General features: G+C 48.5%; 1 protein-coding gene across 8 annotated transcripts in view; it reads right to left on the bottom strand.

Moving 5' to 3' along the window:
- The window catches only part of PDZD2 (PDZ domain containing 2), a 471,802-nt gene that overhangs the window by 19,093 nt on the left and 438,692 nt on the right, over window positions 1-14,017 (bottom strand). For 6 of the 8 annotated variants that reach the window (XM_005248269.5, NM_178140.4, XM_011513992.3 and 3 more), the window contains one exon: window positions 665-4,709. In XM_005248269.5, coding sequence (XP_005248326.1) covers window positions 665-4,709 — 4,045 coding nt within the window. The remainder of the gene's footprint in view (window positions 1-664; window positions 4,710-14,017) is intronic. The other 2 variants (XM_011513994.3, XM_047416965.1) reach the window with 1 other exon arrangement.

Genomic DNA, 14,017 nt, shown 5'->3' with positions numbered 1-14,017 from the left:
TCAGAGCGACACTTTGGTAAACATGTTTCCCTGCAGGCACTTTTATTTTTCCAGCAGTGATATTAAAAACCAAGGGCACTAAAATGGAATGTAGTATCCTGGATCCTGGGACAGAAAAACGATATTAGCAGAATTTATTCAGCAAAATCTGAATGAAGTCTGTAGTTAATGGTATTGCTCCAACATTAATTTCTTACTTTTGACGAATGGACCGTGGTTATGAGAGATGTGAACATTAGGAAGAGTGGGTAAGAAGTGGCCGGGTGCAGTGGCTCACACCTGTAATCCCGGCACTTTGGGAGGCCGAGGCAGGCGGATCACAAGGTTAGGAGTTTGAGACCAGCCTGACCAACATGGTGAAACCCCGTCTCTATTAAAAATACAAAAATTAGCCAGGTGTGGTGGTGCACGCCTGTAATCCCAGCTACTCAGGAGGCTGAGGCAGGAGAATCGCTTGAACCCGGGAGGCAGAGGTTGCAGTGAGCCGAGATCGCGCCATTGCACTCCAGCCTGGGCGACAGAGCGATGCTCCATCTCAAAAAAAAAAAAAAAAAAAAAAAGTAAGTGGGAACTCTGCATTATCTTTGCAACTTTTCTATAAATCTAAAACTATTCCAAAATGAAACAAGTTTATCTGAAATAAAAGTAGTGGGCAGATACTTACTTAACTGACCAGCTTCTTCTAAAAGGCAGATCCTGGGCAGCTTCACCCGTATCACTGGCTGAACTGGGTGTCTCAGCAGCACTGGTTTTAGGGCCACTTCCTCCTGGACAGGCCCTGTTCCCGCCCTTCTCGGGACACGAAACGCCTCCAGCAGGAGGGCCAGGTGACCTCCTGGGGGTGATCTCCAGCTCAGTTTTGAAGAGCACGGCGCTCGGCCCTGCTGAGTAATCCTCGCTGCAGAGCTTGTCAAGGTCAGGCATGCTCAAGGCTCTCAGCTCCTGGAGCTTGGAGCGGGACACGGGCGAGGGCTGCGTGTGGCGTACCGAGGACTTGTTCCTCTTAACAGGAGAAGCCAGGGTCATCGTTGGGGTGGGAATTCCCAAAGGACCAAGTGATTTCTTTAGTTCCGAATCAGAGCCCTTGCTACTGGTCTCTGGTGGGTTCTGCCGAGAGATGGTCAGTGTCATGATTGAGGGAGACTTGGCCATCTGGGGCAGGAGGGTGCCGGCTTCGCTTTGGTTTTCGCTGCAGGAACTCAAGCTGCGTCTCAACAACCTTGCTGCTGCGTCACCTGGGTGGCCCAGGCTCCCGGAAACAATGCTGCCGGAAGACCGCCTCCCAATGGGAGGCTTGGAGCTCACCGACAAAAATGGGGAAGCCCCGGACTTGGCTACAGGCCGGTCAGCATTGGCCAGGTTCTCAAAAGACTTGATCCGCTGCTTCACAGAGAAAAATGAGGTAGATTCATGGGGCCAGTTCTGCTCATAGCAGTAGTGTCGTCTGGTGACTTTGATTTTGTCTGTGACTAGGCAGCTCGTCTCCTGGACTGAAATGATATCCCCTTCATCTGTGGCTGGAAGATTCCTCGATGTGTCCAGCAGCGGCTTTACACTATATATGCCCTGTCCATTAGCCAGGCTGGGAAGACCACCTCTGGATGCCTTTGCCTCGGGGACAACACTGCTTGTCACAGGGACCTGGCTGTCCCGAGAGCGACCCAGGCTGTGTGGGGGGTGACCCTCCCGTCCAAAATGGCTTGAGAACTGGGCTGGCATGGAGTAGGTCCTGGTCGCTGGCCTTGGGGTGAAGTAGAGATGGTCCTCCCCCGAGGGGCCCCCTGGAATGCTGTTTCTGGGCACCCCTCGGGAGTCTGACATCAGGCTTGATTTTCCCTGGGAGTATTCTGCCTTTCTAATGGCTGTTTGAAGGGAGGAGGAGGAGGACGCCAGTTTTGCCATGCTGAATGATCGTGACATTTCCTGCTCTGCCTGGGAGGCATGAGATGGGAGTGAGGATGGATGACTTGTGGATGATTCTGCGACCTGGCGATAGAGCCTGATTTCACTCTTCTCCTGACAGTTGCCCTGGGCCAAGCACCCTCCCCGTCTGTCGCTTTCAGCTGGCTTGTTACCACATACAGTCTCTGACACTGCTTCAGCAGAAATCTCCACGATTTTCAGCTGGTTTGTTCTTTCGAGGCGATCGCTGGCCATTATGTTGCCTCCTTTTTCGCCAGTCGGCCTGGGTTGGGCTGTGTCTGCTGCCACATGGCTGGCCAGGCGCGGCTCACTCTGTCTGTTCCCTGCCACGGACATGCCGTTCCTAGACGCTGCCGGACTCACCGGCCCGGAGTCAGCACGGGGCGCCCTGCCCTCTGCTCTACACTTAGGAGATTTAGGGGTGGTTGGGCAACCTCTGTCGGGTTCAGAGAGGACAGCCATGTGGAACCTGCTCCACATGCCTTGCTCAGGAACAGGCTTGGGAGAGGTCAGGGGCGAGACAAATGTCCTGATGCTCGTGTCAGACACTGAGGGTTTCAGTGGCCCAGAGGTGGCAAGAGGTGGCTTGCTTTCCAGCACACACTGGGGGGACCTGGGGGCAGCTGTGGTGTTTCTGTCAGGGTCCTCGTGGTCGGCTACATGGAGCCGCTGTGACACTGCCTTAGAAAGTGTTTTGTGGGAGGTCTGGGGTGAGATCAAGGGTTTCCTGTGGTCCGTCCCCCCAGCCTTCACAGCATTCGCAGCAGGGGCCTCAGAGTTGACTTTGGCCTTGCCCTTGAGGCTGAGCCTCTTCAGCTTCGGACCACACTTTGCCTTCTGACCATTAGTCAGAAGCATTTCTGCCGGACTCTTCTTAGACAGGTCCTTATTTTCCAGGTTTGTTTTCGGCTGAGGAGGGCTATGAGGCACAGTAACGCCCTTTTTTTGGCTTGAACTCACCATCTGAATCTTGGAGTCGGGACTTCTGGCAGGCATTAGAGGTTGTTCCTTCTCGGTTTTGCTCCTCAAATGTGTGCCTTGGTTATGTTTATTTATTTCTTTAAACCAGGCCATGATGGGCCTCCTAGCGATCATTTTTGGTTTCTGTAGCAAGTCATCCAGGTCTTGACTTTCAGAGATGTGGAGGTTTTCCAAAACAGATTCTCCATTCTTAGGGACATCCACACTGAAGGAGGACAGACTGGCAGCTGCATTAATGCTTGTTTCGTATTGATTCAGGGTTTCGTCATCTAGCAGGTCATGTTCCAAGCCATTTACCATGTTGGGGGAGCTGAGAATGATGGGCGGACTGTGAAAATGCCTGGCTACTTTAGACAGCGGACTGTTTTCCATGGCTGAGCTAGCGCTGGTGACTTCTGTGGTTTCTTCTGCACACGAGGGCCTGTGGTTCTGTGAAGTGCTTATGTCCGCATGAGTTTCATGCTCCTGAGAGCTCATCTCCAAGAGTGATGATGGCTGGGAAGAGTCTGGGCCTGAAGTGTATGAGCCTGGCAAGCAGGCGGCCTTCTCACGGGGACTGGCCACCGACTCTCTCGGAGTGCTGTATTTTAATGACAGAACTTTGGCTGAGGCAGGACAGATGGCAGCCTGGGTGGGAAGATGAGCAGGACTCGAGGGTGGATTGGGGCAGCCACGTGTGGAACAAATCTCAATCTGTTCCTCTTCTGACTCCGAAGGATCTTCCTTGTGCAAAGACACACGGGAACGAGGAGGGGACCAGCCGTCCCTGGCAGAAGCTCGTGGGGCTTCAGTGAGTGACTCAGGGTCAGAAGAAGAATCCTCAGCATCGCCATACATGGATGACAGAGACGGCTCCGTGCTGTCACCCAGGCCTGATAGGGAGGTGCTGTCTTCATGAAAACTGCTAAAATTTCTAGAGTAGTTGCTCAGAAAGTTTTTGTTCACAGTAAAATGTTTGTCGGGATTAATTGAATCTAAAACCGAAGGCTGGGAGGCCCATTGTGGGTAGGCGGGGGCACCAGCAGCCCAGGCCCTCCTCGGGGAGGAGGTCTGGCCCCCCGGGACTGGTTCGGCACGGCAGGAGCTCCCACCTCCAGCCCCGGCTGGTGGGTGGCCCTGAGCACTGCCCTCCTGAGAGCCACTGTCCCCCGTCTGGGAAGACGGAGACCTTGCTGCAGAAGCATCCAGCTCCTTGATGAAGCTGTCAATGTCCGTCACAGGGCTCTCTCTACTCCCCCCTGGGCAGCAGTGCCCCGAGACATGGCCACATGCTTCTTTGGTGTTGTCAGTGGATGGCAGCATGGAGAGGCTGGCCTGCGGTGCCCTTGAGGACACAGAATCTGCTCCCTCCAGCAGGGAAGGCTCCTGGGAGCTTTCAGGTGCATGGATTCCTGTCATTTCCAGAGCCTTACTGTGGTTACCTGGAGCTCCCTGTCTCTGCTCCTGGGATGTGAGGGGGTCTCCTGGCAGGACAGCACCAGCTGGTGTCATTCCCTCTGCTCCAGGTCCCGCTCCCCTGAGGGCAGCCACCCTCCTGGTATTGTGGGGTGTGCTGGTTTCCGATGCTGATCGAGTCTTGCTGTAGTCAGGGGGAGCCGCTGCTTTCTCCCCCGGGGAGGGGCTGCCCTCATGGGGGAGCCTGACTGGAGACCTGGCCTTGCACTTGGTGACCCTGGGCGATGCAGGCTGGCTGGGATTCTCTGGCCGACTGACTTGCCCTGTGTCTACAGAGGTCTTGCTGGGGTCAGGATGAGCGGCCCCCTTCTTCCCTGGGGAAGAGATGAGGTCTGAGGAGCTGTCCAGTTCTACGTGGGGAACGTAAACAGAAGGTACATACACAGGAGAGGTTGTAGGGGAGATAAAAGGGATAATATAAGAAAGCAGCCCCTCAATTATTAAAAACTAGAAAATTATAAACAACCTCAAATATTTTTTTCTTTTTCAGAAAGCTGGGCGTGGTGGCGCATGCTTGTAATCCCAGCACTTTGGGAGGCGGAGGCGGGTGGATCACCTGAGGTCAGGAGTTCGAGACCAGCCTGGCCAACATGGTGAAACCCCATCTCTACTAAAAAAAAAAAAAAAAAAAAAAAAATTAGCTGGGCATGGGGGTGGGCACCTGTAATCCCAGCTACTTGGGAGGCTGAGGCAGGAGAATTGCTTGAACCTGGGAGGTGGAGGTTGCAGTGAGCCGAGAATGTGCCATTGCACTGCAGCCTGGGCAAAAAGAGCGAAACTCCGTCTCAGAAAACAACAACAACAACAACAACAACAAAACGGCGTTCTGTGGCCTAAATGGAGGCCCTTCTTGTCTTCCTGGTTTTCTCTCTAAAATTATAGAGTACCCACATCTAACAAATACCACCCTGCTTTAGACGCTCTAAGAGAACTCAGATTAGCCGGCAGAAGAAACATTTACATCTGCCCATTTTTCTCTCTTTTGGTATTTCTATGATGGCAGATGTTCCTACCACAAAGAAATGATACATTTGATGTGATGGATATGCTGATTACCCTGATTTAATCATTGCACACTTGGGTCTCTTTATGCCATTCACCCTCTGATGGCAAAGCCGCAAGCGTCAGGCTCTTGTTCTATTTGGTTCCCTACTCCTGCGTGGATGCAGCAGGGCCCTCATGGACCTCTCAGTCCCAGTATCTGGCCAGTGGTGTGTGGGTTTGGCTCACACTGGGGGATGTGAATGATGTACTTCAGTGTAAAACAGTCCAAGTGCCGAGCTCAAGAGGCTTCCTTTTTAGTGCAGGGGCTGAGGCTAACTAGGGAAAACATACAGAATACGAAAGCTGGGATACAGGTCTACACCGAGCTCTGGCTGTCTTGACGAATTCAGAGGAGTGGGAGAGTGAGAAGCCAGATTATCCCAGGAAGACTTGACAGAGGAGGTGGGGACATGAATGGGGCTGACAAGGGGAGTTTGGCCAGAGAGTGAGGAGGAGGAAGGTAAGGAAGACAATGGAAGAGTACCGTTAAAATGTCCATACTACCCAAAGTCATCTATAGATTCGGTACAATTCCTACCAAAATTCCAATGACATTTTTTACAGAAATAGAAAAAAAAAAAACAGTTGTAAAATGTGCATGGAACCACAAAGGACTCTGAATAGCCAAGGCAGTTTGAGTGTAAAAAAAACAAAAGACAAAACAAAACAACAACAACACAACAAAAACAGGGCTGGGCATGGTGGCTCACGCCTGTAATCCCAGCACTTTGGGAGGCCAAGGCGGGTGGATCACCTGAGGTCAAGAGTTCGAGACCAGCCTGGCCAACATGGTGAAATTCCCGTCTCTACTAAAAATACAAAAATTAGCTGAGTGTGGTGGCACACGCCTGTAATCCCAGCTACTTGTGAGGCTGAGGCAGGAGAATCGCTTGAACCTGGGAGGTGGAGTTGCAGTGAGCCAAGATCATGCCATTGTATTCCAGCCTGAGTAACAGAGCAAGACTCCGTCTCAAAAAAAAAAAATAATAATAAGGTATTGCATTTATTGAAATAGCTAGAAGAGAGAATTTGGGATGTTCCTACCACAAAGACATGATACATTTGATGTGATGGATATGCTAATTACCCTGATTTAATCATTGCACAATGTATATATGTACTGAAGTACCACTTTGTGCTCCATAAGTATGTACAATTATGTGTCAATTAAAAAAAAAAAAAGGCAGCTGGGCACGGTGGATCACGCCTGTAATCCCAGCACTTTGGGAGGCCAAGGCAGGTGGATCACTTGTCAGGAGTTTGAGACCAGCTTGGCCAACATGGTGAAACCCTATCTCTACGAAAAATACAAAAATTAACCAGGCATGGTGGCATGCACCTGTAATCCCAGCTACTTGGGAGGCTGAGGCACGAGATTCGCTTGAACCCAGGAGGTAGAGGTCAGTGAGCTGAGATTGCACCACTGCCTTCAAGCCTGGGCAACAGAGCAAGACTCTGTCTCAAAAAAAAAAAAAAAAAAAAAAAAAAGGCAACAGAATGAAAGCAGAGAAGCAAGAAAGAGCCTGAAATCTTGGAGGTGGCAGGGCAAGGGGATGTGTGCCAGTGGACAGTGGGAAGTCATCTAGGAGGTGGGTTCCAACAGCCACTCACTCCTGAAAGTGCCTGTTCATAAGGCCCTGCATAGTCTTGGGCTAATCTTCCACCTCAGACACACAGCATCTTGCAACAGGGAAAAAAAATCTGGCATCAGAAAGAACAAAGCTATTTTCTTAGGAACTATGGGTCTGAGGTTGGAGTGAAAAATGAAGTTCCATGAAAGCTCTTGGTTTGAGAATTAAGTCAAACCAACTCTTCCCCAAATATTATGTTCGTTCCACAGCTCTCACATAAAATCATCTTAATTGCATTTTTTTAACCTGCTGACCTTGCTATGTGAATAATTAAGAACTAATTATTAGGACTCAGCCCTGTGCTAAGAGGTTTTCCAATAATTAAGGAGTTAACACTGTGCTAAGAGTTTTGTACACATTTAATTTTCCTCCTAACACTGAGGTATGTCCTGTGACCATCTGCATTGGAAGGATGAGGACGGAGAAACAGCGTGGTTAAGCAATGTGTCTGAGGTCAGAGTTCACAGGTGGCAGAGCCAGCGGTCGCCCCAGGAAGCTGGCTCCACAGCCCATGCTACTGCCTAAACCCTGACTATGTGGCCTCTGTGTGGAGAGCCCTTGGCAATCAAAAGGTTGGATCGTCGAGATCCCCATGGAGACCGTACTAGCTACTAGCTTTCCAGGCCCACTGTGGAAGGCCAGGGGCCTGCCAAGACTCAAAGCCACGTGCTCTTCTCCTTCTCTGCTCAACCTTTTTTGAACTTCCCCTTAAGCATAATGTTCCTGCTTCTGGTGACAGCAAATATGGGCGGTAGTGCGGGTGGTGGTGGGGAGTAGCAATGACACAAAAGGAGGGGATTTAAACTCTGTTTTTAAATTTCATATTCAGGCCGTGGGCGGTGGCTCATGCCTGTAATCCCAGCACTTTGGGATGCTGAGGCCAGGCAGATCACTTGAGGTCAGGAGTTCGAAACCAGCCTGGCCAACATGGGGAAATCCCATCTCTACTAAAAATACAAAAATTAGCCAGGTGTGGTGGTGCACGTCTGTAATCCCAGCTGCTTGGGAGGCTGAGGCAGGAGAACTGCCTGAACCTGGGAGGCGGAGGTTGCAGTGAGCCGAGATCGAGCCACTGTACTCCATCCAGCCTGAGCGACAGAGCAAGAATCCGTCTCAAAAATAAACAAATTTCATATTCGCTCACTGAATAAACCTAAACAGGCAATTCATGTTAGCAATTTGACTTTATTGCAAAGTCTGTAACTTAAAAGGTCTTCATCTGAGGGAGACGAGGTTACACTGAGGCAGCCTTTGGTTGTCACCTTTCAAGACAACCTTTTCTCTGGAAACGTTCGAAATGCCCAATCATGGGAGGAAGGTTGACTCGTTACAGCACATCCGTGGGGTGGAAGGCCCAGCAGCCTCTCCAGGTGATGTCGGGTGTAGAAGAGCCTGCAGGATAGCAGTGCGGTTTCCTAGAGTAGGCTATGGGTGTGCTGACAGCAGAGTGGTCAGTGCGAGGGACAGCCTGCTAGGTCAGGCCCATGGGCTGAGGAGCAGTCTTACTGATGCCAGCAGGCTGCTCAAATATTATTTCGTGTGGATGTATGAGGTTTAAAAAGGTTGTTAGGTACTGGTGACTACCACAGTGGATTTTTTTTTTTTTTTTGGCAAAAAGACAAAAAAAGCACAGGACTATATATTTATTCACACCCATATACGCACAAGACTCAAATGATACAGACCAAAATATTAACAGAGGTTTTTCACTTGGGCTTAGCTGATTTTTATGCTATCTTTCAAAACTTCCCTCTCAATTGTAATTTCTTAAGTTTCTAGAATAAACATGTATCCCGTTCATAACAGAGTTAAACATTTAGTGACAAACAGGGGGCCTGGATTCCCCACACTGCTTCAGTTTCTCACAACAGCTTTGACAGCTTTTCCAACAGCTACCACCTCCTCTCGTTCTGGTTTCCAAGAGCCACCATTTAACAGACAGAGTCAATTGCTGCCAGAAAGCTAAATGGCTCTAAAATCAGACCTCACAATCAACACATCTTGGTCGGCCATTTGCTCCTGTGTTTCTAAAGTTTCTAAAACTTTCTTAGGAAAATCATGTGTGTAGGTATACATACACACATACATACACACACACGTATCTTACTGTGTATCATATACTAGGCAGATATATACACACATATATGTTTCTCTTAGGAAAATCACATACACACACGTAATATAACTTATTCAACATATTAGGTACCAGATTGTGTTCCAAATGCTACACATGAAAATGTCATTGATTCTTCCTCAACAACCCCATGAGGTGTGTAACTTAGGACAACAGTGACTAATCCAAGGTCCCTTCCCTGGTCAAATGTTGGGGCTCAGATCTGAGCCCTGGCAGCCTGCGTATGCCCCTGTGTGCTTAACCACCGTGCAGTGTACGGGTCATTTTGGATTTTTTTTTAATGATAAGGTATTCCTTCTTTGATCACTTATGCATTTTTGGATATTTCAGTTTTAAAAAAGATATGTTTTGGCTAGGCGCAGCGGCTTATGCCTGTAATCCCAGCACTTTGGGAGGCTGAGGTGGGTGGATCACTTGAGGTCAGGAGTTCGAGACCAGCCTGGCCAACATAGTGAATCGCCGTCTCTACTAAAAACACAAAAATTGGCCGAGCGTGGTGGTGGGCGCCTGTAATCCAAGCTACTCAGGAGGCTGAGGCAGGAGAATTGCTTCAACTCTGGAGGCAGAGGTTGCAGTGAGCCAAGATCGCGCCATTGCACTCCAGCCTGGGTGACAGAGGGAGACTCTGTCTCAAAAAAAAAAAAAACAAAGATATGCCAGGCGCGGTGGCTCACGCCTGTAATCCCAGCACTTCGGGAGGCCGAGGTGGGCAGATCACGAGTTCAGGAGATTGAGACCATCCTAACACGGTGAAACCCCATCTCTACTAAAAATACAAAAAAATCAGCTGGGCGTGGTGGCGGACGCCTGTAGTCCCAGCTACTCAGGAGGCTGAGGCAGGAGAATGGCATGAACCTGGGAGGCAGAGCGTACAGTGAGCCAAGATCACACCACTGCACTCCAGCCTGGGCAACAGAGCAAGACTCCGCCACAAAACAAAACAAAACAAAACAAAGACATGTTTTGAAGAACATCCTTCTTACATACTGGAAAGCAGCTATTTGTAATAACACTGGAAGAAGAACTGCTACGAGCACTCAAGTACTCAGCAGGACCAACTGGTCACAGATAGCCTTTTCATTGGGAAGGAGAGAGAAATACCTAAACAAAAGGAGACAGAAGCTCTAAAATCTTTTAGAGATCCGGTAATCGGGTATTTCAGATACACCCCAAAAGCCCTTGAGGGTGCCAGTGTGTCACTGCAACTCGATCAATCCTGACGAGGACCCTTAAAGAATTAAATGGTAACTAATATATTATGTTTTGACATGTTAACTAAATATAGCACATATATCATTGCCTGTTAAATATAATCAGTTCCTGGTCTAGCATTCCTGGCTGCTCAGTGGGTGTAAGGGACACATAGCTGCACCTTTCTCAAGGCTCATTATCTATGGGAAATCCAGAGAGGGCAAGGCAGAAAAGCATCCAAACATCTGCACCCACCGGGGTCAGTACAGTCACAGAGGTGCACAGAGCTCCAGGGAGTACGGGGCTGGGAGACGAAATTCTCTCTACACTATAACACAAGAGAACTTGACATGCAGCAACCCACTTACTTAAGGTACAAACCCGCGGTATTTTTTTTTTTTTTTAAGTTCTGGGATACATGTGCAGGATGCGCAGGTTTGTTACACAGGGAAATGTGTGCCATGGTGGTTTGCTGCACCTATCAACCCGTGACCTAGGTATTAAGCCCTGCATGCATTAGCTATTGATCCTGATGCTCTCCCTCCCCCCACCACCCCATCCGCAACAGGCTCCAGTGTGTGATGTTCCCTTCCCTGTGTCCATGTGTTCTCATTGTTTAGCTCCCACTTATAAGTAAGAACATGTGGTGTTTGGTTTTCTGTTTCTGTGTTAGTTTGCTGAGGATAATGGCTTCCAGCTCCATTCTTGTCCCTGCAAAGGACATGATCTCATTCCTTTTTATGGCTGCATAGTATTCCATAGTGTATATGTACTACATTTTCTAACACTGATGAAAACCTCAGTATTGACAAAAACTGGCCTACCTAGAATAAGAAATTCCTCAGTGGCAAGAAAGGAAAGAATGTACTGCATGAGGTTGCAAATAGGAAATGTTGGTTTAGTGAAAAAAACCAACCCTTTGCTGTCCCTCTTCTATTCCAAAGCAAATCTGGATTCCAAGAAAACTTCCAGAGGACCATTATGTAGAACATGCACTCTTAAAATGTATGAAGATACTGGCCTCAAATGAAGCCTTACTTTGAAAGGTGACATTGAAGGCTGCCTCAATGTAACTTCATCTCCCTCAAATAGAAACCCCTCACCCCCCACTTTTTTTTTTTTTTTTTTTTTTTGAGATGGAGTCTCGCTCTGTTGCCCAGGCTGGAGTGCAGTGGTGTGATCTCAGCTCGCTGCAAGCTCCACCTCCCGGGTTCACACCATTCTCCTGCCTCAGCTTCCTGAGTAGTTGGGACTACAGGTGCCCACCACCACGTCTGGCTAATTTTTTGTATTTTTAGTAGAGATGGGGTTTCACTGTGTTAGCCAGGATGGTCTCGATCTCCTGACCTTGTGATCCGTCCGTCTTGGCCTCCCAAAGTGCTGGGATTACAGGTGTGAGCCACTGCGCCCGGCCAAATAGAACCCTTTTTAACACTCTTTGCAGTAAAGTCAAATTGCTAACAAAAAAATGCTTGTTAGTGTTTGTCCAGCAAGTGAATGTGAACCCGAAAGAGAAACCAGAACCCACAGTAACAGCCTCATCACTAACAAAGGAACAAAGAGCCTCGGATCACAGAACAGAGACATCAGGGGCCTGTATTTTTTCTGTGAGTAGCCATCAGGGTATGGGATAGATATTCTGGGGTTTCACTTTTTTCTTTTTTTTTCTGAGACGGAGTCTCGCTCTTTTTGCCCAGGCTGGAGTGCAATGGCTCGATCTCGGCTCACTGCAACCTCTGCCTCCTGGGTTTAAACGATTCTCCTGCCTCAGCCTCCCAAGTAGCTGGGATTACAGGCGCCCGCCAACATGCCCAGCTAATTTTGTTTTGTATTTTTAGTAGAGACTGGGTTTCACCATGTTGGCCAGGCTGGTCTCGAACTCCTGACCTCGGGGGATCCACCCACCTCAGCCTCCCAAAGTGCTGGGATTACAGGTGTGAGCCACGGCACCCGGCCCACATTTTTATTTTGTAGGACAGCCCTAAAAAGGAAGGCTATCTTTTTTCTGTCTACCACCGTAGTTTGCTAACCAATCAGAAGGCAGGCGCTGAGACAGTAACAACCAGCCGACAGTTGCGGAGGACTGCCGGGACTCCCACAGAGCTCGACAAGTGGGATCACAGTCATCACCAGCCACTGAGAAGAGTGTCCCCTACCCACAGAGTGCAAGTTTAGAATCCAGATTTCCTTTTTTTTTTTTGTTTTTTTTTTGTTTTTTTTTTGAGACAGAGTCTCACTCTGTCCCCCAGGCTGGAGTGCAATGGCACAATCTCAGCTCACTGCAACCTCTGCCTCCTGGGTTCAAGCAATTCTCGTGTCTCAGCCTCCTGAGAAGCTAGGATTACAGGCATGCACCACAACACCCGCTAATTTTTTTATGTTTAGTAGAGGCGAGATTTCACTATGTTGGCCAGGCTGGTCTTGAACTCCTGACCTCAAGTGATCGGCCCCCCCTTGGCATCCCAAAGTGCTGGGATTACAGGCATGATGAGCCACCGCGCCCCACCAGAATCCAAAATTTCAATAAAGGTCTCCACTAACAAGGAAGCAAAGTCACTTAATTCAGTTGATTTTTAAAAATCATGTTTTACAATATTATTTTGTTCAACTACTAGATGATGGGTAGCCAAATTTTACATACACACATACACACCCCACACTTTTTTTTTTTTCCCAGAGATTGGGTCTAGTTCTGTCACCCAGGCTGGAGTGTAGTGGCGTGATCATAGCTCACTGCAGTCTCAAACTCCTAGGTTCAAGTAACCCTCCTGGTCTTAGCCTCCAAAGTATAGCCACATGCCACCACATCTAACTAATTTCCTTTTTTTTTTTTTTTTTTTTTAATTTTTGAGACACAGTTTCACTGTATAGCCCAGGCTGGAGTGCAATGGCATGATCTTGGCTCACTGCAACCTCCACCTCCCGGGTTCAAGCAATTCTACTGCCTCAGCCTCCTGAGTAGCTGGGATTATAAGCGTGCTCCACCATGCCCAGCTAATTTTTTTGTCTTTTTAGTAGAGATGGGGTTTCACCATGTTGGCCAGGCTGGTCTTAAACTCCTGACCTCATGATCTACTTGCCTCAGCTTCCCAAAGTGCTGGGATTACAGGCATGAGCCACTGCACCTGGCACCTAAATAAATACTGAGATAACTTCTGCCTCCACGATGTTACTTAATCTCTCATCAACACTTATGTGTGGTTTTTCAGTATCATTTCACTTGTCCTTTGTGGAGGTTTTTGTTGCCATTTCTCAGTGCATTTGATTTCACGTAGGCAGAGTGCTGTGATTTTGATGGGTGGGAAGTCCTTTTGATTCATCTCATGTCTTGTTGGTGTCACAAAAGGGTAAAAAGGGTCAACTGACTGAAAATGGATGTGTTCAACATGGCATGAAAACGATGAGTTTAGGCACAATGATATAGTAAAGGTGCTAAATGCAGGCAGTATTTAAATGTTAATTTGTGTAAAAGATTTTTCTCCTTAAAAATATCAATTTCCTTTCTTTCTTTTTTCTTTTTTTTTTGACAGAGTCTTGCTCTTGTTGCCCAGGCTGCAGTGCAATGGTGCCACCTTGGCTCACTGCAACCTCCGCCTACCCAGTTCAAGCGATTCTCCTGCCTCAGCCTCCCAAGTAGCTGGGATTAAAGGTGCGCACC

Source organism: Homo sapiens, chromosome 5 (assembly GCF_000001405.40).
Source record: "Homo sapiens chromosome 5, GRCh38.p14 Primary Assembly".
NCBI classification, from domain to species: domain Eukaryota; kingdom Metazoa; phylum Chordata; class Mammalia; order Primates; family Hominidae; genus Homo; species Homo sapiens.
The sequence above is the reverse complement of the archived record's forward strand: the minus strand, read 5'-3'. Positions and strand labels throughout refer to the sequence as shown.